The sequence below is a fragment of the Homo sapiens genome, chromosome 8, assembly GCF_000001405.40.
Source record: "Homo sapiens chromosome 8, GRCh38.p14 Primary Assembly".
Classification (NCBI taxonomy): Eukaryota; Metazoa; Chordata; class Mammalia; order Primates; family Hominidae; genus Homo; species Homo sapiens.
The window spans coordinates 100,606,478-100,632,988 of record NC_000008.11 but is presented as its reverse complement, the minus strand read 5'-3'; the positions used below and the strand labels follow the sequence as shown (position 1 = coordinate 100,632,988).

General features: G+C 44.1%; 1 protein-coding gene and 1 long non-coding RNA gene across 22 annotated transcripts in view; one reads left to right on the top strand and one right to left on the bottom strand.

Annotated features, from left to right (window-relative positions):
• Window positions 1–26,511, top strand: part of SNX31 (sorting nexin 31) — a 90,712-nt gene that overhangs the window by 30,597 nt on the left and 33,604 nt on the right. For 11 of the 20 annotated variants that reach the window (XM_011516899.2, XM_017013162.2, XM_017013160.2 and 8 more), the window contains 5 exons: window positions 2,598–2,662; window positions 15,259–15,369; window positions 19,904–19,994; window positions 20,902–20,989; window positions 24,426–24,495. In XM_011516899.2, coding sequence (XP_011515201.1) covers window positions 2,598–2,662; window positions 15,259–15,369; window positions 19,904–19,994; window positions 20,902–20,989; window positions 24,426–24,495 — 425 coding nt within the window. Of the gene's footprint in view, window positions 1–2,597; window positions 2,663–10,623; window positions 11,175–14,583; window positions 14,659–15,258; window positions 15,370–19,903; window positions 19,995–20,901; window positions 20,990–24,425; window positions 24,496–26,511 lie in introns of those variants that run through there. The other 9 variants (XM_024447086.2, XM_024447084.2, NM_001363720.1 and 6 more) reach the window with 4 other exon arrangements.
• LOC105375671 (uncharacterized) lies at window positions 12,996–14,452 on the bottom strand. 2 transcript variants are annotated; one of them, XR_007061033.1, is made up of 3 exons: window positions 14,344–14,452; window positions 13,831–13,914; window positions 12,996–13,176 (listed from the first exon to the last, which is right to left on the bottom strand). It is a non-coding gene; the product is annotated as an uncharacterized LOC105375671 (long non-coding RNA). The 2 variants fall into 2 exon arrangements; XR_928454.3 differs by lacking the exon at window positions 14,344–14,452 and adding an exon at window positions 14,225–14,313.

The window sequence follows — 26,511 nt, the reverse complement described above, 5'->3', positions numbered from 1 at the left end:
CTTGCCACTGCACTCCATGCTGGGCAACAGAGAAAGACCCTGTCTCAAAAAATAAAATAAAGTCAGCAAACATAAAACTGCTGAGACATTTAGGCTGGGCGTGGTGGCTCACACCTGTAATCCCAACACTTTGGGAAGCTGAGGCAAGAGGATCACTTGAGCCCAGGAATTTGAGACCAACCTGAGCAATATAGATCTCATCTCTGTATTTTTTTTAGAGTCAGTGTCTTGCTATGTCACCCAGGCTGGGGTGCAGTGGTGCAATCACAGCTCACTGCAGTCTCGACCTCCTGAGCTGTGATTTGAGCAACTGCACTCCAGCTTGGGTGACAGATGGAGACCCTGTATCTAAAAATAAATAAATAAAACATCGCCAACTATTATACTAATGTCCTTTGTAGCTCAAGAAAAAGGGTTTTTCTCCTGTATGTTGACTTTTTTCTCTTAAAAAATATATATCTTAGAAGTCATTCTACATCAGCAGTCATAGATTTATCTCATTATTTTTCATGGCTGCAAATTTTTCTTAAACATAGTAAGTAAAAATTCTAGAAGCCATCTATTTCCCATTAAATTTTTTTTTGTCATGGGACCATACTTCTTTTTAGACCTGCTGAATGAGCTCTTTCAAAGTTCAAGTTCAAAATGTAATATCTTTTGAATTTTCACTCTCCCTTAGTTTGTTTTCTCGTGTCTTAGCAAAATGTTCCTTTAATACCTGGCCTTTTCACAGATGATCACCGTGCTTGAGGGTTCGCTTTTCCAGGCCTGGTCTTTATTCATATTATCAGGATGACCTGTGTACCGTCTTTGACAAGGTCCAGTAGGAAGACAGTACAGCTTAGCCTCATGACTCAGAGCACAGGTTCTCAAATCAGACCCAGTGTCAAACCCCACTTTAGCTCCTCACCAGCTGTGTGACCTTGGGCAAGATACCTACCTTCTCTGAGCCTCAGTTTCTTTATCCGTGAAACAGAAATAATATTTACCTCCGAGTTTGTCATGAAGATTAGATAAGCTAAAATATACAAAGTTTTTAGCCTAATACTGGTACTTAATAGTCACGCAGTAAATACCAGTTGGGTGAATACCTTTTTCAGCAGCTTTCCTCATTCCCAAGAATTTATGCTAATGAATATAGTTATTAGTAGTTTGACTATATGCCCCATTGCAGAAAATAATGCAAGGGCTTCCCCTCCTCCACTCCGGGAATTACCCCTCAGAAAAGACAGAATGCTTTTTATAAATAGTTTCTCATGTTGCAGGGACTTTCTCTCTTCGTTTATTTTGGAAAACATGATGTCTTTTGGGAAAGGCACAGCCTGCAATGAAGTCAGTGATAGTTTTGAATGCTGGTAGAGGATGTTTGATAAAATTAGTAAAACAGGCCGGGTGTGGTGGCGCACTCCTGTAATCCCAAAAACTTGAGAGACTGAGGCAGGAGAATTGCTTGAACCTGGGAGGTGGAGGTTGCAGTGAGGTGAAATCACGCCATTGCACCCCAGCCTGGGTGACAGAGCAAGACTCCATCTCAAAAAAAAAAAAAAAAAAGTAAAACAGCAATGAAAACAGAAGGAAGAAAGAAATTTGGCAGCATTTAGTAAGTATGTAAGTGTAGCTGAAGCGCAGGATATAGGAGAGGATCTGTGGCAAGTGGGGGTAAACCAGGAGGAACCAGGCTGGGCCATACCTTGTGGGTTTGCAGTTCTCATGGGGGTGTGTCTGCCCCATCTGCTCTGCCCATATCTCCTGGCTATTTGTGTCAGGAGCTTTAAAACTAAGGGTAAAAATATTTTTGTTAATTATAGAAGAATGAAATATTTTAAATCTCTCTGACTGCCTTATCATTGCTTTTTTTTGGTAACATCTCGAGAACTCCTATCATTCAAAGGGGTGCTCTCGGCCGGGTGCTGTGGCTCACACCTGTAATCCCAGCATTTTGGGAGGCCAAGGCAGGCAGATCACCTGAGGTTGGGCATTTGAGACCAGCCTGGCCAACATGGTGAAACCCCATCTCTACTAAAAATACAAAAATTAGCCGGGCATGGTGGTGAGTGCCTGTAATCCCAGCTACTTCAGAGGCTGAGGCAAGAGAATCGTCTTAACCCAGGAGACGGACATTGCAGTGAGCCGAGCTCACGCCACTACACTCCAGCCTGGGCGACTGGGCGAGACTCCAAAGAGGTGCTCTCAGTTGATGTTTCTTGGTTGAATTAAATTTTCAAATTACCCTGTGTCTTGCTAGGCTGGGAGTCTAGATGCAGGTTTTAAGATCTTTCTGATTCTTCATATAAACTTCATTATCATCCTGGTAGGGCAGCAAAATGGATGTTCAGTAGTATGGGTTTGTATAAATAAAGTGAGATGCCTGGGAACACTGTCACCCTGGATGGGTGTCATGGGTTCCTGTTGTTAAGGCTGCCTATAGGAGGCAAGCTTTGGGGGTTTTCCTGTATTTGAGAGGTTTCAACATTTATCACTTCAGGGAGGAGACAGAGCACTGGCAAGGCATGGAGGGATCTCTGGAGGACATAGCAATTAATAGGCAGGGCCCAGCCCAGCCCATGCTAACCTGGCTCACCGTCCATGTTTTTCAGTAACCATGGACCCAAACGTGTTGAGAAGTGATGTCTTCGTTGAGTTTTTAAAACTGGCGCAGCTGGTAAGCTTGCTCTTCTTTAATGGGGCCATCATTCCTCTGCAGGACACTCTTCATGAACCAAGTGTGCAGGTACACACACATGTGTGCACTGGTCACAGCCCCACAGAGCCTGGACTTGGACAAAATATATTCATTTCAAGTCAATTGGGGGATGGTTCCTATTTTGTTCTTTTGGAGGTTTAGATTTTAGATGGAAAATGAAGTGTGTCACTTGACCTTTGGCTCATTTTATTAAGTAGATCCCTTTTTCTGTAGCCTAAGAATCATACATCTCAAAACAGGACATGAAGAAGAGGACCTTCAAGTACAGTACAAGAACTACAGCCTTTATCATTAAGGGTTCCCATAACATGTCTGTGACCCTGCTTCTGTAGCTGAGATTTCCAAATGGGCCACAGTGAAGACATCAGGAAAGCAGGCCATGCTGGCTATTCCTTGTATATTCTCTACTCCTACCTTTATTGTAAATGAATCATGGAGAAAATTCAACATGAACAGAATGACATACAGCAACTCCCTTTCCTTTGTTGGTCTAAAGAGTCATGGGTCACTTGCTCCCTAGGCTGAAACTGCTAAGTACGTTTGTTTAGCACAACACTCATTCTAATGACACATAAGGAAACATTGTTATGCCTGTATGTATGAGCTTGGCTGGAAAAGCTCTGAAAGAATTTAAGTTCCGCAGTAATATGATACTAGTTAACTGGATCCTTAGCCAGGGGAGGAATGATCAGATTTGCAAAAATGAGAACACATTTCATTCATTCATTTACTCATTTATAAAATAAAATCCCATTGGGTTCTCACAACAAATCTCATGTAAACAGGGGTTCAAATGTGTTGGAATATTTACTGGCCCAGTCAACCTGAGAAATGGCCCTAGAGCCTTCTGTTCTGTAGTGGTTCATATTTTCACAATTTCTTGATGGTTTATATATACACACACTTTCCTATTCTTTGAAAAGTTTGCTGTGGAAGTGGTGATGATAGTAAAATTCAAATAGCCAAGCGTATACAATGAAAAGTAACTTTTCTTCCCTTATGATCCCCCTCCTCAGTGACAACTGTTGTGTATAGTCTAATAGTTTATAGTGCTCTTTTGCTACACATTTCTGCACATATATAAGCATGCATATATATACATATATATGTACATGCACACATATATATACACATACATGCACACACACAATCATGTGTCACTTAAAAATGTGGATTCGTTCTGATAAATGCATCATTAGGCGATTTTGTCATTGTGTGAACACCACAAACCTAGATGGTAGAGCCTACTGCCCCTAGGCTACAAACCTGTATACTATGTTACTGTACTGCATACTGTAGACAATTGAAACACCTTGGTATTTGTGTATCTAAACATAGAAAAGGCACAGTAAAAATATGGTACTATCATTTTGTGGGACTACTGCCATATGTGCAGTTTGCTGTTGACCAAAATGTCATTAAGGGGTACATGACTACACACACACACACACACACACACACACACACACACCCATTTTATTTTACAAACAAGCGCACACTCAACACATTTTTTCAACTTGCTTTTTTAAAAAAATTTTATTATTATTATACTTTAAGTTTTAGGGTACATGTGCACAATATGCAGGTTTGTTACATATGTAGACATGTGCCATGTTGGTGTGCTGCACCCATTAACTCGTCATTTAGCATTAGGTATATATCCTAATGCTATCCCTCCCCCTTCCCCCCACCCCACAACAGTCCCCAGTGTGTGATGTTCCCCTTCCTGTGTCCATGTGTTCTCATTGTTCAATTCCCACCTATGAGTGAGAACATGCGGTGTTTGTTTTTTTGTCCTTGCGATAGTTTGCTGAGAATGATGGTTTCCAGCTTCATCCATGTCCCTACAAAGGATATGATCTCATCATTTTTTATGGCTGCATAGTATTCCATGGTATATATGTGCCACATTTTCTTAATCCAGTCTATCATTGTTGGACATTTGGGTTGGTTCCAAGTCTTTGCTATTATGAATAGTGCCGCAATAAACATATGTGTGTGTGTGTCTTTATAGCAGCATGATTTATAATCCTTTGGGTATATACCCAGTAATGGGATGGCTGGGTCAAATGATATTTCTAGTTCTAGATCCCTGAGGAATCGCCACACTGACTCCCACAATGGTTGAACTAGTTTACAGTCCCACCAACAGTGTAAAAGTGTTCCTATTTTTCCACATCCCCTCCAGCACCTGTTGTTTCCTGACTTTTTAATGATTGCCATTCTAACTGGTGTGAAATGGTATCTCTTTGTGGTTTTGATTTGCATTTCTCTGATGGCCAGTGATGATGAGCATTTTTTCATGTGTTTTTTGGCTGCATAAATGTCTTCTTTTGAGAAGTGTCTGTTCATATCCTTTGCCCACTTTTTGATGGAGTTGTTTGTTTTTTTCTTGTAAATTTGTTTGAGTTCATTGTAGATTCTGGATATTAGCCCTTGCTTTTTAATGCCCGGGTGCTGTGGCTCACGTCTGTAATCCCAGCACTTTGGGAGGCTGAGGTGGGCGGATCACCTGAGGTCAGGAGTTTGAGACCAGCCTGGCCAATGTGGTGAAACCCCATCTCTGCAAAAATAAAAATTTAGCCGGTCGTGGTGGTGCATGCCTGCAATCCCAGCTACTTGGGAGGCTGAGGCAGAATTGCTTGAACCCAGGAGGTGGAGGTTACAGTGAGCTGAGATCATGCCACTGCAATCCAGACTAGGTGAAAGAGCAAGACTCTGTCTCGAAAAAAAAATTTTTTTAAATTGACGTTGCTCTTTTAGACCTATGTCTTGCAGATCATTCTATATCTGCACATGTAATCGTAAGTTGACTTTAGTTCAGTCGTCTTTTTGGGGTGCATTCTGGGTTTTGCTTTCCATCATTCATGGGATCATTCAATGTTGTTAAGCTTTGTTTTGTATATCTCTGTTTGTTTGTTTGTTTGTTTTTGAGATGGAGTTTTGCTCTTGTTGCCCAGGCTACAGTGCAATGGCATGATCTCGGCTCACCACAACTTCCACCTCCCAGTTTCAAGTGATTCTATTGCCTCAGCCTCCCAAGTAGCTGGGATTAAAGGCATGTGCCACCACGCCTGGCTAATTTTTGTATTTTTAGTAGAGACAGGATTTTACCATGTTGGTCAGGCTGGTCTTGAACTCCTGACCTTGTGATCTTCCCGCCTCAGCCTCCCAAAGTGCTGGGATTACAGACGTGAGCCACTGCGCCCAGCCAGTTTTGTGTATCTTATTTTCCTGATAATTTGAAAGGTTTTATACCTGATTTCATTTCCTTAATATTTTGCCTTTGTGACTTCATACAAAAGCCTTATACCTCTAGCTGTGTTTTTCAGTGCCTCTTTTTACTTTTTCTAACACAATTTTCACTTTTGTAATGGCTTTATTTTCCTCTTCCATTTCTTCCGTGAACTTTACCAGCTCACTTTTATATCCTTTTGTTATCTTATTTCTTGAGGCTTTTATCTATTCTTTGAGGTCTTCATTCAGAAACACCTTCTTTTTATTTTCATCTGCTTAATGATGTAATTCTTTTGGTATATGTTATTTGCCTTTCATTGGTCATGTTTCTTTCCTCCTTTCTTGCAGGATTTTTGCATAGATCCCTTGCCAGTTATCTTTAAGTCATCAATCAACTTTGAAACAGGCTGCTGTTGTGAGCTAGCTGTTTGCTGACACATAGTACTGGGGAGGGGGCCTGAGTTGAATTCATCGAATCTGTTGTATTTCCAGTTCTTGTTTCTTGTTTCTGAGCACTTTCTTATGAACATGCTACCCTAAGGCCTAATCAGACTGTCTAGCAGCAAAGCTTTAAACCCCAGCTCCTCATATCATGATCTAGCCTTCTAAATATTTTGATTGACTAAGATCAGCAGCCCCCGACCTGGTCTAGGGGTTAAGAGTTCAGGCTAAGTAGTGAGATGGCCTCAGTTCAAATTTTGGCTGCCCTACTTTTGATTTATATGACTTGGGTCAATTTACTTAGGCTTTTTGTACCTCAGTTTCCCCATCTGTAAAATGGGGAGAAGAGCTCCTGTCTCTTGGGGTTGCTTTGAGGATTAAATTAACTGATACCCTTAAAGCATATCATCCGGCACAATGTTAATAGATATGAGGTAGTCACTACCTTCACCTCCTGGGTTCAAGCGATTCTCCTGTCTCAGCCTCCTGAGTTGCTGGGACTACAGGCGCATGCCACCACACCCAGTTAATTTTTGTATTTTAGTAGAGATGGGGTTTCTCCATGTTGGTCAGGCTGGTCTTGAACTCCTGACCTCAGGTGATCTACCCATCTCGGCCTCCCAAACTGCTGGGATTATAGGTGTGAGCTACCATGCCTGGCCAAGATATAGGTTTTAAAAAGCAAAATCTTAATGCCAGTCCCTTTTCTTTCCCCAGCCATGCTGAGAGATTGCTTTTTGCAAAGATGGAGTGTCTGTACATCTCTTCAGCATCCCCTGCCACTAGGTGGTGTCCAGTGGGGCCCGGAGTAGCGCTCTCAGACAGGCTGAGCACCATGTGATTAACTGCTTTGAGGCAGCTTATGCGTTGCTTGAGTTCTGCAGCACTTTGAGACCTCTGATTCCCTCCTTCCTGACCAGGTTCAATTTTCAACGCACTTGGCAGCCCTTCTGAAAACCTCAGGCTCAGGGCTATTTGTAAGTTTCTTCAAGGATGCTTTCCTTTTCATTGTTTTCTGTTTGCTTCTAAAGAGAGGGCAGGACAGAGGTAACAGTCACTTCCCAGAACCTTAACACTTTTCAAAATATGTGCTCTTTTTGAGTTGAATTGAGTTGAATTTAACAACTGGAGAAATCTTTTAATTTTTCAAGGAGATCGGTGTGCTTTGTTGCTATTCTGCTCTGAGGCAGAGGAATGTCTAATAGCCATGGTGCGCATCCAAGAAAATCCATATGTGGACTCACCAGGCTCTAAACCTCCATCACATGCAATGATGGGCCGCTGTCATTTCTCTACAAGGGAAATGGAAAACATTCTTAAGAATGTTCCTCTGCCTCAGAGCAGAATAGCAACAAAGCACGTATTTTAAAACATTAAGGCAGCCCATGGTATTGGAGGATTTTGAGGTTTCTTTAAAATGAATGTATTTTTGTTAGTTTTCTAGTATGAATTGCATTTTTTCATTCCTGCTGCATTATAGATAAGTATGGCAGCTGGGCCAAACGTGGTGGCTCACACCTGTAATCCCAGAACTTTGGGGGGCTGAGGTGGGAGAATTACTTGAGGCCAGGAGTTGAAGACCAGCCTGGGCAACATAGTGAGACTCTGTCTCTACAAAAAAATAATAATAAGAGATATTTAGATGGGGGTAGTGGCACGTGTCTATAGCCCCCGCTACTCTGGAGGCTGAGGCAGGAGGATTGCTTGAGCCCAGAGCTTTGAGGCTACGGTGAGCTATGATCAGCCCACTGTACTCCAGCCTGGGAAACAGAGCAAGACCCTGACTTTAAAAAAAAAGAAAAAGGATAGCAGCTCATTTAATGTTTTGTTTTTTTATACAAGCCAATTCTACCAGGTTGACTTTTCCCCCCAGCTGGTTTTTGTATTGCGTTTACATTTCATTAATTTTGTGAATTATACATTAAAACATTCTAGTAAAATTCAAATATCACAAATAGAGCCAAATTGTTGTTTGATTTCCACTCTAAACTTGTTTGATCTGTTTTGTGCTTGCTTTGGTCTCATCACACCAAGATCTTTTGATGCCATCAATTCTCCTCTTTATTATATTGCTCTAAAATGTTTGTTTACTTACCAAAGCAAAATGTGCTTATAGTTAGAAAAATGAAATAGACATCATGGATGGAATAAAAGTTAAAAATCTAAAAATAGCAGTGAAATAGTGATTAAAAGGATTATAACACTCCCCTGTCCTCCAGAGGCAATGACTTTCAAATCTTACAGCTTTCTCTTCAGATACTTAAAAATATGGAGGTTAATTATATACATATATGACTATCTCTCATTCTTCGTTTTATTTTTTTCTAGATACAGGATCTCACTATGTTGCCCAGGACTCCATCTCCTGGGCTCAAGTGATCCTTCCTCTTCAGCTTCCCCAGGAGCTGGGATTACAGGTATATGCCATAGCACCCAGCTATTATTCTTCAATTTTTAGACCCTATCCACTGACTGTGATGGATGTGAGGATTTCAGCTTTCTTGTGTCACTTCTATTCTTCCTTTCTCCCCTAACTTTAATTTTAAAAAATTAAGTCCTGAGTCAACACCTTCCTCTTTCCTCCCCGCATCCCCCCACCTCCCCCCCAACTGGAGTTAAAACTGAATCACTTAACAGAAAAAAAAATGCTTAGTTGTCTCAAAACATATGACTAAACTCCTTCCGTACCTATAGCAGCCCTGAAGACAGAATTTTCCCCATAGTCAAGCACATCAGTTTCTTTCCCTTCGAGATGATCTACCCAAAGTCTCTGACTTTCTGTTGCTTTTGATGACAGAGACTTGAATAAGTTTGCTGCTGGTGAGTAGGAGCCGGTAGAGAAGGAGAAGTGGAAGATGGGAGTGTGAAGGAGGGGCCTTGATTATCAGTGGCTCCAAGTCCTTCTGGAAGGAGAATTGCACAAGGTCTGGGATCAGGTGGAGGAAGGGCACCTTTTAAATTGAGTGTAGGTCAAAGAAAGATAGAGCAAGGCTACAGGCAGGGTCCAAGGCTGGACAGTGAGGGGAAGCAGAGTAAGTTCCCATCTTGCTGTTTTCTCTGTGACTAATAGGAAGTGAGGTTAGCTGGTGGGAAGGAGGGAGGAGGAGAGTGTGGCTGGAGTCCTGGGGAAAGTGGATGAGGTTGAAGATGAATGTGAGTCAGAATTCCACTGGGTGAGGGAACTGTTTGGATTTCTGTTCTCCCCCAAATCCCATGTTGAATTGTAGTTCCCAGTGTTGGAGGTGGAGCCTGGCGGGAGGTGATTGGATCATGGGAGGTTTCTCATGAATGGTTTAGCGCCCTCCCCCTTGTTGCTGTTCTCATGACAGTGAGTGAGTTCTCATGAGATCTGGTTGTTTAAAAGTGTGTGGCACCTCCACCCACCCTTGCTCCTGCTCCAGCCATGTAAGACATGCCTGCTTGCCCTTCACATTCCACCATGACTGTAAGCTTCCTGAGGCCTTCCCAGAAGCTGAGTAGATGCCAGCATCATGCTTCTGTACAGCTTGCAGAACTGTGAGCCAATTAAACCTCTTTTCTTTATAAAAATTACCGAGTCTCAGGTATTTCTTTATAGCAATGTGAAAACAGAGAAATACAAACCAGTAGGGTGTGATAGAAGGTGGAAGGAAGGTGAGTGCAGCTGCCAACTGATTTGTCCATCCTGGCCAATGGCAGCAGGTTGGGTGGCGCTTTAACCTCTTACCTCCCTTGATGTGCAGGTTCTTTACTGAGAGGAGGTTACCTCAGCCAAAACCAGTACTGCGACATCAAACAAAACATTGGAGGCTTTAGCCTTAATATTCTCTTCTTACATATCTGTAGGATAAGTATGCAGTCGAGGGCTAGAGAGGGAAGTTCATGTATCAACACTCCATTTTTAAATGCCCCCATTTAATTTATTTTTATTTTTATTTATTTATTTATTTATTTATTTATTTACTTATTTATTTTTTGAGAGGGAGTCTTGCTCTGTCACCCAGGCTGGAGTGCAGTGGTGCAATCTCAGTTCACTGCAACCTCCGCCTCCTGGGTTCAAGTGATTCTCCTGCCTCAGCCTCCCAAGTAGCTGAGATTACAGGCATGTGCCACCACGCCCAGCTAATTTCTGTATTTTAGTAGAGACAGTGTTTCACCATGTTGGCCAGGCTGGTCTCGAACTCCTGACCTCAAATGACCCACCTACCTCAGCTGGGTCCCAAAGTGCTGGGATTCCAGGCGTGAGCCACCACACCTGGAAAATGCCCCATTGCGGACGCTACTATGCTAGTTCTTTTTCTCTTCTCACTTGGATTATTTTGAGAAATATGGAACCAAGATTATTAAATGTCTACTTGTACAGGGCACTCTTCAAGATAAACTCACCACATAATCCTGCTCTGTAGGAGCTTATCTTCTAGGCAGCCATCTAACCTGGCTTTAAACTAATTAAGCGTGAAAAAAAAGCCAACAACATTCTACAAATAAGCATTTAGAGTGGAGAAGGTAGAACTCAACTACTTCCGATTAGTCAGGTTATTTTCATTGTCAAGGCCAAAATCACAAAACAGAAATTTGTTTATTTAACTAAAAAGTTGTGGAAGGTTGGCTGCCTCCCACTTCTCACCTCTACCCCAAACCCTGCTCTTCTCTACATTGACTTTATTCTCACAGAGCTTCCCTCCATTTGCTTCAAGATTAGCAGCCCCAGCTGAAGGCGAGGACCCTGCCCTTCCTTCCTTCTTCCGAGGGAGTGAGAATTGCACTGAGCATCGAAACCTGGAGGACGTGCCAGACAGGAGGAGGAAAGGAAGTAAGGGGCAGTGGGCCACCAATTCCTCTCATCCTGACCAATGGCAAAGAGTCGGGTGACCTATGAATAATGTTAGGATGTTGGAGGGTTTTAAGCAAGAAAGGGACATTTTTAGGTTTGCATTTAAAAAATATATCTCAGGCTGCTGTGTGAGGACCACTTGGTAGGGGAGGAGAATGGAAGCAAGGAGACTTGTAAGGAGCCCATTGAAGTGGGGAGTCTAGGGCAGAGGGGATGTTAGCTGGGTCTAAGGTGCTGGTGGTAAGATGGAGATGGTCTCAAGAGATCATTTAAGATGGGAAATATGGAGGTTTCAGAACTTGACTGGATATGAGTGTTGAAAAGACTTTTCTGAATCTTTCTTTGACTCCGTTATTTCTTACCTGTTGCCAGTAAGTCAAATATTAACTCTCTTCTACATGGAGAGAGGCAGCTTAACACATGGTAGCTTAGAGCTAGGGCAGCCATATAGCTTATCCAAACTGGGATGCTTTTGAGAGTGAAAAGAGTGCTGCAGTTATCACACTGGGGTGCCAGGCTTCTGGGCCAGCTGGGAGAGATGTTTACCCTATTTAGAACCTACAGTCACATGGAGCTGGCCTTGAGTTTTGCCTCTGCCACCAACTAGCAGTGTGTCCTTGGATAAGTTATTTTTTGGTTTTTGTTTTTTTGAGATGGAGTCTTGCTCTGTCGCCCAGGCTGGAGTGCAGTGGTGCAATCTCAGCTTACTGCAACCTCCACCTCCCGGGTTCAAGCAATTCTCCTGACTCAGCCTCTCAAGTAGCTGGGATTACAGGTATCCACCACCATGCCTGGCTAATTTTTTTTTAAATGTATTTTCCTTTTTTATTTTTCTTTTAGTAGAGATAGGGTTTCACCATGTTGGCCAAGCTGGTCTCGAACTCCTGACCTCAGGTGATCTGCCGACCTCAGGTGATCCGCCCACCTCAGCCTCCCAAAGTGCTGGGATTACAGGCATGAGCCACCATGCTCGGCCTGGGCAAGTTATTTAACCTTTGTGAACCTGTACTTCATCTGAAAAAATAATGGGATTAGTAAGTGTATATGCCTCATGGAGTTGTTATGAGAATTAAGTGAGCTGCTATATGTGAAACAATGAGCCCAATGATCAGGATCACAATCTAATAAAATAGTTGTATACAATAAATATATAGATATTTTATCCATAAATGATGTGCTATATACACAGCTTCTTATATATGTAGATACAACACACAAATATAGTGCTTTTTTTGGACTAATCCTTTGAATGTAGAAGAGAGCAGATTTTCTCTTCTAAAGAACTTAGATTCAGAATCATAGAAATTTAGTAATTGTAAGCATGTGGTGGGGAGGAATTAAAATGTAAAGTCAAAACTTGCCCTTTGATAATGAAATGACGAAAAATAAGCCTGTTGCTAATGTGATCAGCCTTTTGGGGTCACCGAGCAATGTGATTGAGTTGCTGGGGCTCCCCAGGTCCCTGTGAAGACTGCAGCATCTGTTGTGTCTGAAAGGTCAGGGGGCCTGAGGAAAGGGGAGCTGTTGCCCATGGTGGAGACAGGGTCTCACCTGGTCAGCTGACCTGAGCCCCAACTTTGTGGTCCCCCAGTAATCTCCTGATTGGTCATTTGGATCTTCCCTTTTACATGCTGACACCTGGAAGGTGATGCGATCAATTGTACCCCAAACCTCAGCATCACGCAATAAACCCGTGTAACAAAACTGCAAGTGTACCCCTTGAATCTAAAATAAAAGTTGAAATTATTTTAAACATGATACAGAATGTGTGCAATGGGTATCAGATTTCCGCAACACAAATTCAGGTGTATACCATAAATGTATTAGTCTTAAAAAAAAAGGAGGTTACTTCCCGGCCGCTCCCACCTGCACTGTGTGACTAGTATTCTGGCTTACATAGCAGTCTCCAAACACAGAAGATGATGTGACTCCTTTCTCCATTTTCCTGAGGATGTTACATGGCCAGTACCATTCTGAATGCCTAGGAGAGAAGTTAATTTATTGTATACTGTGGATGCCTTGGGGCATTAGAGTTTAATCCTCTCAGGGAATCTGGGATGAGAAAGGCTGTGACCTCAATCAGCCAGAGATGAAGCAGGTCTGTGGACTGACAGCATCGCCTTTAGGAGATGCCAAGGAACAATCCACCCCCAGATCGCTGCCCTGCAAGGCCCCATGTGGGCAGCCGCTGGCCTCTCTGGATCCTGCTTCCTCCTGGTGTCCTCCCTCTCCCTATAGCAGCTGGAGTAACAATTCAGCCTGTGCTTCCCTGAACTCTGATGGCCTAACAATGTCTCCAGCTCCATCCCAAGAATGTCACAGATCCCCAGATTTGTTCCTGCTTCTAGCACACATCCTTCCCCTTGCAGGATGCTTATGCTTAAGCCTGCAGAGTTGTGTCCAGCAGGAGCTGCTCCTTCAGCTGGAAACTCACTCACTAGATGGCAACTCACTTCCCTTCACTGGCCTCACAGTTTGTGCAGCTCAGATTTTTGCTATAGCAAAATCATAAATTACTGCATATTTAGTGTGGCATAATACAAAACCAATTTGATCTTTGTCCCCAGTTCCTGGCACAGAGTTCCTAGGAATTTCCTTAGCGTTAGGACTGCCTTTTGTTATCCATAACAAGCACCTTTCAACATTGCCTGAGTTTATGCTGATGAGATGATTCTTGGCTGGGGGACTCCGAGATAGTATCAGGATGCGGACTGGTCACCTGAAAGACCACGGCATGATTAGAGGATTGGGACTTTCAGCCCCCACCCCACAACTCTCGGCCTCTTGGGAAGGGGGAGTGGCTGGAGATTGAGTTTCGTCACCAGTGGCCAATGATTTAATCAATTATGCCTGTGTCGTAGACCTCCATAAGAAACCCCTAAGCAATGGGGTTTGAGGAGCTTCCATAACGGCACCTCCATAAACAACCCCCCTAAGCAATGGGGTTTGAAGAGCTTCCAGGTTGGCGAGCAAGTGGCGGTGCTGGGAGGGTGGGGCACCCAAACAGAGCATGGAAACCCCACCCACACCTTGCTCTGTGCATCTCCTCCGTTTGGCTGTTTCTGAGTTGTAGCCTTTATAATAAGCCAGTAATAGTAAGTACACCATTTTCCTTCACTTTGTGAGTTGTTCTAGCAAACTATCAAACCTGAGAGGGGGTCATGGAAACCAGAATTTGTAGTCAGCTGGGCAGAAATGTGGGTAACTTGGGCCCCATATTTGCTGCTGGCATGTGAAGGGGGTAGTCTTGTGGAGCTGAGCCCTTAAACGTGAGGGATCTGATGCCAACTCCAAGCAAAGCATGTCATAATTGAATTGAATTGTTGGACAGCCATTGTGATGTTCAAGAACTGGAGAATTGGTTGCTACATGGAAACACCTTCCCCCTGCCCCCACCCACAATTAGTGTCAGAAAAAATCAGGGATATGGGCTTTAGGGATGCTTGGAAATACTGAAAACTGGGCAAGTTAATTATGAGACTGTTAAGGATGCAGACTTTATCAAAAGCTGTTTTCTCCAATATAGATACTCAGTTGTTTACTTGGAAGTTCTTTAAGCTTCATGTTACTCCTTTGCCTTGCCTCCACTATACCCCACAAAACAACCCTTCCAATCTCTGCACTTGTCTCTTGGGAACTTTGGGTACCATATGCTAGAAGAGCACCAAAAAAGGAAGCTGTGGATTGTTCGCTTGCTGCAATGGTGCAGCTTTAAAAAATGGTGTGGAGGCCGGGCGTGGTGGCTCAGGCCTGTAATCCCAACACTTTGGGAGGCCAAGGAGGGTGGATCACCTGAGGTCAGGAGTTTGAGACCAGCCTGGCCAACACAGTAAAACCCCGTCTCTACTAAAAATACAAAAAATTAGCTGGACGTGGTGGTGGGTGCCTGTAATCCCAGCTACTTGGGAGGCTGAGGAAGGAGAATCACTTGAACCCAGGAGGCAGAGGTTGCAGTGAGCCAAGATCACGCCATTGCACTCCAGCCTGGGCAACAGAGTGAGACTCCGCCTCCAAAAAAAAAAAAAAGGTGTGGAAATTTATTTTGCTTTTCTTTTGCTTATAGAATACATTTGACATCGCCACCAAGAAAGCTTATCTGGACATATTTCTGCCCAATGAACAGAGTATTAGAATCGAAATTATAACATCAGACACTGCTGAAAGAGTCCTAGAGGTAAGCTTTGTTTAAACTCCAGCTCCAGAACTGAATCTAGGGATGGTTCTGTTTGGAAAGCAGAGAATGGGATACGGTTACCTTCCAGGAGCTTCTGGCCTGTTGTTTTACTCTGTGGATGATTATCTGCAGAGGTACTGGCATTTGCTGGGAGAACAACCAAGGAACCTAAGATACAGCCAATCCTCCAGGGCCTCTTTGATTTCACCCTCCCTGGGGGCACCAATTTTCCAGAGATCTCCTGGAAGGCTGCTGTCACTTCCTTGGAACTTAGCCAGGGATGTGGCCTGGAAATATGTAAAATGCTTTATTACTGGATGTCCCATCGTTGGGAGCAGGAAGGAAAGTGGGGCTTGGCAGAGTCTGAAACAGGTCATACCTAGGTGTGCAGGTGACAGGGGAGTTCTTGAAGGTTCCTATTCTCCCACAGGGAAAATTCTTGAAACCAGTGCTCCATCAGGGCTAATTCTGGGTGCAGAGGGCCCAGACATGAGTTGTAGTCCACTGTCTGAGGACTAATAGGACAAGACCCAGAAGGCTTCATCCTTCTTCAGCAGCTCTGCCTCCCAGACCCCTTTTCCATCTGCTGAGTGGGGCTGCAGAGGGGACACTGTCTTCTCACACTCACATCCTGCTGCCTGGGGGCAAGCTCCCAGGCCCTTTTCCTCTGGAAGGTTTTAGCTCTAATCCTCCAGAGAAACATACAAGAGAAAAGACAAAGTTATAAACATGAAGAAGAGTCAGAAAGTTTCTAGGACCTTTCAAAGGACAGAACGTTCTTGTGCTTGGGTTATGGTGTCTGACCCTTTCTGAGCTGAGAAACGGAAGCACTCCCATTTTGGCTGCTAGCTCTTCGGGCCTGCCTTGACTTAACCTATTCCTGTATCTCCAGTCTCTCTTATATTCATCGTCTCTCCGTTTCCTCCTCTCGATCCTACATCTTGACCTTAGCTCCAGCCCTCATTGTTTCCCAGCTAGATCTCTACAGCTGCCCCTAAACTAGTCTCCCTGCTTCCAGTCTTGCTAATCTTCTGTATTGATTTCCAGCATAGTCTTTCTAAAAAGTATCAAAAGCCCTTGATGCTTGAGGGAGTTTGTACCCCAAACACAAAAACCTCAATTGCTCAGGATCTAGAAGTGGGAGACAGACTCATAAATGAAGGAGGAGTAGGAAGGCAGTGATAGAGTGGGAGCCACAGACTGCATGTGTCTGGGGCCAGGCAGGTAGCTCTGGGGTACAGCTGCAGGATCAGATATAGAACAGGAGAGAGCACCTGCCTTCCCCAAAGACATCATCATTGACTTCTTTTTTTACACACTGGGCTTGCTGACCAAACTAGACATGCCTGCAGCTGAAGCCAGTGGTGGTGGTGATAGTTTGGGGTCTCCTATCTTCTGGGTTTAGGATGAGTCCTGGATTCAAATTACAGTCATGTGCCACATAATAATGACGTTTCGGTCAACATTGGACTGCATATACAATGGTGGTCCCATAAGTTTATGATACAATATTTTACTGTACTTTCTCTATGTCTAGATATGTTTTGGCCAGGCACTGTGGCTCACGCCTGTAATCCCAGCACTTTGGGAGGCCAAGGTGGGCGGATCACGAGGTCAGGAGATCGAGACCATTCTGGCTAACACAGTGAGACCACATCTCTACTGAAAAATACAAAAAAAAAATTAGCCGGGCGTGGTGGCGGGTGCCTGTAGTCCCAGCTACTCAGGAGGCTGAGGCAGGAGAATGGCGTGAACCCGGGAGGCGGAGCTTGCAGTGAGCCGAGATCGCGCCACTGCACTCCAGCCTGGGCGACAGAGCAAGACTCCGTCTCCAAAAATAATAATAATAATAACAATAGATATGTTTAGATACACCAATACTTACCAGCATGTTACAGTTGCCTAGAGTATTTAGTACAGTAACATGCCTACTATACTACTATAAACCTGGGCTAACAGGCTTGTAGCCTGGGAACAGCGGGCCATACCGTCTAGCCTAGGTGTATAGCAGGCAATACCATTTAGATTTGTGTAAGTTCACTTCGCAGTGTTCACACAACAACAAAATCGCCTAACGATGCATTTCTCAGAATGTATTCCTGTCATTAAGCAAAACACAGCTGCACAGTGTTGCTGTGTAAGGGCTGTGTGAATTTGGGTAAGTTACTTTACAGACAATGTCTAAGTAAATAATTATAGAAATAGTTCACGTTCCCGAGACAATGGCAGTTGTGTTTATTTATCATTATTGGTATTGGTATTGATCTTGATATTGGAGGGAGTGCTGAATACGTACTGAGTAGGGCAGTATCTCCAGGGTTCTGTGGTACCATCTGTTTTGTCCATTTCCCTTGAAACTAATAGCATACATTTGATGAAGTACATTTGCAGTCAGAAAAATGTGCTTCCTCTCTTCCAATCATGTTGGCTTGTGAGAAATTCAGACCCAAGACGTTGACATCATCAGATCAGGTAAGTTTAACTGGAGGTTCTACCCTAGAAGTGGTAGTTTCCATAACAGGTGAAGTGGTCACTTGGTCAGCCACAGGTGTGAATTTCCTTCCAGGAGCTGGGAAATTCTCTAGCTTGCATAAAACCATAATTTAAGTTTTATAATTAAAAATCGCCTTCTGCATCTTCTCCAGCACACTTGCTGCCATTCTCACTTTGCTTCCCCAGGTTTGCCTCACCCACAGCCTGCCTTTTACTTTTCAATGGTCTCTTTTTTGGTTGTTGTTTTGAAATGGAGTTTCACTCTTGTTGCCTAGGCTGGAATGCAATGGTACAATCTTGGCTCACTGCAACCTCTGCCTCCCAGGTTCAAGCGATTCTCCTTCCTCAGCTCCTGAGTAGCTGGGATTACAAGCACGTGCCACCATACCCAGCTAATTTTTGTATTTTTTTTTAAGTAGAGATGGGGTTTCACTATGTTGGCCAGGCTGGTTTTGAACTCCTGACCTTAGGTGATCAACCCGCCTCAGCCTTCCAAAGTGCTGGGATTACAGGCATGAGCCACCGTGCCGGGCCTCAATGGCCTCTTTAAGGGCCAGCAGCAAGCTAAAATCTAGGACTACTGTGGTGCTAGTGATGGCGTTCGTGTTTTGAATCATCATTAACATTTGCTAAGAGGAAAAATATTATTACGTATTTTTTTGCTGATGCTCACTCCTCTCAAAAGAAGGTGTTTATATTTATGTCTTTATGAATGCGAAAGGCTTCTTCATTCTCCTTTTGCCCCCATGCCTTTCCTCTGTCTGCCTTGGCATGTAAGCTTGTTGTTTTCCCTGAATTAGACAGAAAAGAAGGAAATCTAACTTGAGTGGACCTGGGTCAGGTTTACTCTGGGAAAGATGTCTTTACTATGCTGTTACCTACCACACACTTACCCACTGTGTTTGGCTTTTGGGTGTTTTGCAGCCCAAAACATGGGGGAAAGAGAGAGACAGAAAGAAGGGGAAGGGAATTGCTTTGAAAGTGGTGAAACTATTCCTCAGCTGCTCTTTATTTTCAAAGCTATGCTGAGAACACCCACTCATACCAGCCACCTAATCAGACTGCTTCCTGGGGGTAATTTATGTATCTCTGACAAGAGAAGGCCCCCTGTGAGCCTGGTATTTGTACAACTGCCACCTAGAGAACTGGGAGTCGTGGGTAAAGCAGCTCTGGAGGGCAGTGCTTGGAGGCCTCTCCTTGCGTGGTACAGAGGTGATTTAGTGAGTTAAGACCAGGAGTATAAAGAAATTACTCGAGAGCCCAGTGTTAAATAGGGGCTGGGCTGGGCAGATGGCAGGGAGGAAGCCTGTGGTCGTGTAGAATTTTCTGCTAAGGGAGCGTGAGTAGATGTCCAATGCTGTGAGGTGACACCCTGGTAGGCTGATGGTAAAAATGAAGCCACTGGCGTTGAAATGAAAGCTGTTTGATATAAGTCAAAGAGGAATGTGAAGGAAGGCAACCTGTGCCTGGCATCTGAGGTTTTCATTTTGCAAACATCCTAGTAAATTACAGTTGACCATCGCAGGAAACATCAAGGCGAAGCAGGCCTGGCGTGTCAAAGGTGGGCAGTAGCGCATGCACGTTTGTATGCCAGCCAAGCGGCGGGGAGTGATCCTTTTCCAAATAGCTGGTAATGCAGCCCACAGGAAGGTAAACTAGTGTGCAGGTTCCAGGGACAGACATCACAGAAGGACAGATGTTCATGGAACATGGCTGCTGCCCTCCAGGGGAAAATAAAGACCAAGACAATCCGGGAGTGAGTCCACATCTGAGATGGGATGACCAACCTCAACTTGGGGCCAGCCTCTGTCCATTGTGGTGGGGCTGATTTTTATTTTCTTTATTCTAATTTTTTTGTGTTTTAAAATTTTCTAAGATGGATACCATTTTTTGATTCCAAAAAGCTTTCTTTGAGTGTTCACTAACCCATGACAGCATTTTTTATTGATGTGTACCGGCCATTTCCAAGTCTGCATGTCACAGTTAGGATGCATGGTGGGCACACCTAACTTTTTCCCTTTCTGCTTGTTTCTGGTTAAAGGTGGTGTCACACAAAATTGGACTGTGTCGAGAGCTCTTGGGCTACTTCGGCCTCTTTCTCATTCGGTTTGGCAAGGAGGGCAAGCTCTCTGGTAAGAAGGAAGGAACAAATGAATCAGCTAGGAGATGGGGTGGACAGGTGTGAGCAGGGGCTCATAGGAGTCACAGCTGAGGGGCTGGCCACCCACTGGGCTGTGATCCCTACCACTGTTCTCAGTCACTGGGTTAAGGGTTTAGGGAATAGGAGGTTGCGTCCTTGTTAGGGGAGAGTGGGGGCAAACCGCTCATACCTTGGGTGGTCCAGTAACTGCACTTGTGTACCCCCAGCCCTAATCCTGACCCCCTCCCCTTTACCGCAGGCCCGGCCTGACCACTGACCACTCGCCTGCACCGTTTCCTGTGAATGGAGTGCTAGACTCCAGGGGTCAGGACGCCCCACCACAGCATCATTTCTCCTTGTTAAGGAATATTTGTGGATGGTATCAATGAGTTATTAGATTCTTTTTTCAAGTGTAATGAGATAGTGTAAGAAGACAGTCTGATTCTCCTATCTTTTGTTTTCTCTACAGTATGTTTCTAGATATTACAAGTTTTTTTTTTTTGTAAAATGGTATCAGTTATATTAAAGTAGTTTATAAATGTCCTCAAGAAGCCAGGGGAGGTGGTTTTGAGTTGGAAGTTAAGGGGCTTGTGTAGAGGGTTGGCTGCTAGGCCCTGCGGTGAGCTGCGAAGGCGCTGGATGTCTCCGGATCTATTTTTTCATCTATATCACAGTGTAAAACACCCCCCACTCAAGGGGCTGTTTTTTTTTGAGGATCAAATGATATTTATTTTTTGAATGAACTTCAGAAAGTTAAAATTACGTGTAAATACAGAGGATATTCTTACTGTGATTTTATTATTTCCAATAATAAGGTTTTATTTTCTCATTTGAAAGCTGCTATATATAAGCTGTCTGTGCTGTTTCAACCAGTAAGACCGGCTTTCTCCTTTCTCTAGTTGTGAAAAAATTGGCTGACTTTGAACTCCCTTATGTTAGTCTTGGAAGTTCTGAGGTGGAAAACTGTAAGGTTGGACTCCGAAAGTGGTAAGTAGGTTCTGAAAGTGACAGAGGCGTTTGACGACACTTCGCCATTGCCCATCAGGACTTACCAGAGTCCCGTCACATCCTGCTCATAGCCTGACAGCTGGAGACCAAGAACTTAGAGAAGGCTCTGAGAAAAGCAATGAAGGCCAGGTGCTGTGGCTTATGCCTATAATCCCAGTACCTTGGGAGACCAAGGCAAGATGATTGCTGGAGCCCAGGAGTTCAAGATCAGCCTGGGCAACATAGCAAGACCTCATCTCCACTAAAAATCAAAAAAATTAGCCAGATGTGGTGTTGTGCATCTGTGGTCCAGCTATTCAGGAGGCTGAGGCAGGAGACACACTTAAGCCCAGAAGATCGAGGCTGCAGTGAGCCAAGATTACACCACTGCACTGCAACCTGGGCAACAGTGCAAGACCCTGTCTCAAAAAGAAAAGAAAAGCAATGAAAATGAGAGAGGGTGAAATAAACTGGTTTCTGAATATTTGTCCTAAAGAATAGGATGTTGAGGGTGACTATCAGTAGTCTCAGGTAAATACTCAGGGCGGGGTGGGGTATGAAAATGAGGAGGGTAGCCATCTTTCTGCATCTCTACTGATAGGCGAACAAGAAAGTAAGACTTGAAAACCAGGGGCGGGGCCAGGGGACATGGATTAAAGCAGGTAATGGTGGGAAATGGCTGGCCTTGGGTTTGCTTTGCAATGCATCACTGGCTGCATTAATGGAGGGACTTTGTTGATGATTACAACCAGATCTGATTTATCCGTAGAAGTGTGGTATTCCCTGAAGGTGAAGGGTGGATTCAGCCAGGTTGCAGTGAATTTGAACTCTAAGTACTGGGCTTACACATGCCTAAAGGATGTGTACAGGGCCATCCATATTCCTAGATAGGTAGGACACAAGTATCCCTCTGCAGAAAATACTGTCATTTCCTCCAGTAACACAGGAGCCTGTGGAGAACAAAATATTATAGAAAATAGCGCTGAGCAGCAGGACCTTATGCACCCCCAGTCCTATAACCTGCAGCTCCCAGTGTTTATTACCGTGGCTGCAGGGGATTGCTCCTTAGGCTCGCTCTCTCCCAGCCCATTTATTCTGTTATCTGAGTACAGAAGTTTTAAAGAAAGGTATTTTGAAATCTAAGAATTCCCTTGACCTTGTGATGCCTTGCTCTAGAGCTCCAGTTTGTGGCTTTGAATTGTGGAAGGATATTCCCAGCAAGGCAGTTCATATACTGCTGTTCAGAAGTATCCTGAGGAATGGTCCAGATCTTGAGATGTGAAACCCTGAGAAGGGGAGAAGAACTCAGTTCCATCCAATGGTTTAGAGAACAGCTGTTCTGGAAGCTGCTTGCTGTAGTGAATGGCTGAGCACAGTTGTTCCTGGAATTACAGTATGTGAATCTAAGTTGCGCCTTGCTCAGGTCTTAGCTGCGTAAACCTAGCCAAGTCGTTCAAGCTCTCTAAGCCTCAGTTTCTTTATCTGTAAAATGGGAATAATAAAAATAGTTTATTGGATTATTATAAGGGTTATTGCAAGAGTTATGTAAAATAGTCCCATATGCTCAGTAAGTTTTGGTCATGTTTGTGACTGTTATATTGATGATGATGGTGATTATAGGAAGCAAAAAAAAAAAAAAAATCTTTGGGGCTTAGATTTTCACTCATGTGCGCTTCATAAAACCTGAGATCAAAGGAGAGATGATGATTCTGTTTCTTACCTTGAAGCTTGAATTAGAAATTAGGCATTGCCTATGTCTTTTTTAAATACGTAAACTCTAGATGATACGTGCAAGAGAAAACGTCTACCCCAAATTATTAGCCAGCATCTCAGATCTAGGCAGATTGCCTCTGTTGATGGGAACTGGGAAGAAAGGAGGTTCCACTTCTATTGTCAGAGCTGAGGATCAGGTCTCTGGAGGGGAGATTCTGGCATAGGCTCCTGCAGGTGCCTTGCCCTCTTTCCAGAGGGAAGTCTTGCCGCATGGGAGCTGGAAGGCTAGCTCCAAAAGCTGAGTGATTCCCAGCAGGTGAAGCCTCAGTGAGGCCTAAGTGGCGTCTTAAGGACTTCTCTGTCCTTAAGGAGAGATGCCTGGGTGCATCTCTCCAATGATGATGATATGGCTTCCTCCAGGCCACAGGGTACCTGTGCTGGCCTGTGGGAGCCCCAGTCTGGGATGGGTCTATTCTCTGCACACAGGGGCCTCTGGGATGTGTGGGTGCATAGTTACCTGGAATGTAAGTAGGGATGCTTCAGTTACTTCTCCCCACCCCAGAATGAAGTTGACCTTCAAGCACCATATTTATCCCTTTCCTGGTCTAAGCCAACCCCATTGGTCTATTCACCCTATTCTGAGCATAGCAACTCTGCTTGCCTCTGCCTTCTGGTTGGTAGAGATCAGCCATAGGTACCCTTTCCTGACAGTTTCAGTCCCTTCTTAACATGCTACTGTGCTTCTACAGTCATTAATTTCAGTTCCTCGTGATTCTGGATCTGACAGGCAGACACGGAGCCCCTGCTATTTGCAAATCACTCTGTCAAGATTCAGAGGGGCAACTCTGGATAGGCCCCTGGCCTTGGGGTTCTTCACAGATGGTGTCAAGAAAACTTAATCAGAGTGGCAATTGGAATAAACTCAGGGTGCAGAGGAAGCACAGTGGACAGGCGGCTAATACAGCCTTGGGGAGTAGGGACCAGAGGAGGGGGCACTGCATAAGGCTTGCAAAGAAAGGCCAATCAGTCAGGGGAGGAGACTGGTGAGGGCCTTGGTCTTCCAGGCAGGGAGAGAGGAGAGAAAACATGGTTGGAATGTAGCGTTGGTGGTGGGGTTGGTGAGAGATGGAACTGGAAATGAAAGTGGGGGTGGTCCCCGGAAGGGCCTTGAAAGTGAGTAGAATAAATATCTAACTCCAGGAACAATGAGAGTCTGAAAAGTTTCACAGGAAAGACCACTCTGGTTAGAATGTGGAGCATCAGATTAAGGGCACATGGCTGAGACAGAAAGCCTGGAAAGGAGGCTCCCAGAGCAGCTCAGGCAAGAGATGAGGGTGGCCCTGCTGCAGGGTGGTGAATATGGGGGTAGGTCTGTGTGGGGCAGTTGACTATGCCAGGTATTGTGCGGTGGAGAAAGGGAATCCGCATCTTGGTGGCCAAGAGTGAGGCTGAATGTGAACAGGGATGCAGACCATTCCCCTAAAGCTTTATTTTTGTGCCTCTTTACTCTTAGAGCCCTCCAGGCAAGAGCTTACGGTGTAAAGAAATTAGGAAACGAAAGAGGTGGAGGGGCAGAGTGAAAGCTGGGCAAGTGGAGGTGTGGCTTTGTTGGAAAAGGGGGCCCTGGTTCATAGGGTAGAGGGCCACCACTTTCCAAAGCACTTGCCAGGTGTGCCCATGGGCCATGTCACAGGAATGAATTTCACACTCCTGAATTTTGCAGGTATATGGCTCCATCCCTCGACTCCGTGCTGATGGACTGCAGGGTGGCGGTAGATTTGCTCTACATGCAGGTGAGGGTCACCAAGAGCTCAGACAGCACCGTAGATCATAGGCCATGTTGGCTTGGAGCCACTAAACAAATTATGTGGCAGTTAGTAATTCTACCTCCACACCTAAAACAGGCACATTCATAGAGACAGAAAGTAGAACAGAGATTACCAGGGGCTGTGGGGGGTGGAGAAGAAGTTGTTATTGTTTGATGGGTACAAGTTTTTGTTGGGGGATGATAAAAAAAAGTTTGAGCTCTAAATAGCAGTGATGATTATCCAACATTGTGAATGTATATAATGACTCTGAATTTTGTGAATAGTTAAAATGACAAGTTACGTTGTATATATTTTACCACGATAACAATAAAATGTAAAAAGTAGAGGAGTTTAGAGAGAGAAAAGGAATTCTATCTCCATTGTAACAATCCATCTCTGAATTTGCAGCTGACACACTGTCATCATGAGCCTAGAAAGGATATCCCTGATAACTTAAAGTCACACGTGATCCTTAAATCTCACTCTAGCATAGCCTTCTTGCCCCTGAGCCAACAAGCAACCTGCCTGCCATTGGCTCCAGCTGGGTGGGCATGTGGCCTGCACAGTTGCGTTGGGCTCTGGGCTCAGAGAACCCATGCTCCTGTAATGATCGCGGTTACCAACTTGAAATTCTTCATTTTATTTTTAGTTTTTATTTTAAAAAATTAAATTTTCATTGGTACATAGTAGGTATATATATAATATTTATGGGTTACATGAGATATTTTCATGCAGGCATGCAGTGTGTAATAATCCCATCAGGGTAAATAAGGTATCTATTTCCTCAAGCATTTATCCTTTACGTTACAAACACTCCAATTATACTCTTTTAGTTATTTTTAAATGTACAATTAATGTTTTTTACTATAGTCATCCTGTTGTGCTAGCAAATACTAGGTCTTCTTCATTCTATTTTTTTGTGACCATTACCCAAAATTTTTAATTTTTGAACAACATTTTCATTTTGCACTAGGTAGACCCTGAAAATTATGTAGTTGGCCCTACCTACTCCTACCCCCAGCCTCTAATAAAGTAAATTTCGAGCTTGGCCTCAGTTCCCTTCTCCTGCCTCGTGTGATGAAGCTTCGGCCAAGTCATGGAATGGTCAGCCGGTGCTGCCGCCAACATACACACCCAGGTCACCAGCTGCCCCAGGTGTTCACACTCACCACACCGCCATCTTCGGAGACCTGATCTTTTCCAGGCTTGGCTCCACAATTCTGGGAAGAAAGCTCAGAAGCTTCTTTCAGTGAGTTCCCTGAGAACATCTCACAGTCTATTCTCAGGCAGCAGGCAGGGTGGTGGGTCACAGCCCTGCCCTGCTCCACCCCCTCCCAGACTTTCCATCTCACTCAGGCTAAACCCCAAATCCCAATGTCCTTGTTCTTTTTCCTCCGTAGCATTTCTACCATCTGCCAATGTAAGTATGTGTGTGTGTTGTGTATATTTGTTTACTCTCTCCCTACTGGAATGATTTCTCCATGAAAGTGGGTATTTATTCATTCACTGCTGCATCCCCAGAAACTGGAATTGTTCCGGGCACGATGTCAGCATTAAGCCCTTTGGTGGGCCTGGCATCGTATTAATTAAGTGCGTTATGTCATTGGAGCTTCATAACAACTCTGTAAGGCAGTTGGTACCATCCACACTTTCAGGAAGAAAAACATTAGATTTGCTGCCAAAAGATTGAGTAGTGGGTTTGGATTAATAGAGGATGTAGCTAAAGAAATTTAACAACACTTGTTTACAGGTGGCCTTTATTTAGCGTGACTCTAAGCTGCTACACTGGGTAGCTTTTATAAACTCAGGAGAGAGAGAGATGGTGGATAAGTTATTACTTTTAATGAGCTTTTCAAGTGGAATGTTAATAAAACCTACTGTGGTACTTTGGGTGTAGAAAAAGGTCAATGGGTGGATTTTGTTACCCTGGCTTACCAGAGGGCGTAGAAGAGGGAAAGAAACTTAGCCCATGCCTCCTTAAGTGACTTTTAGAGATCAAGA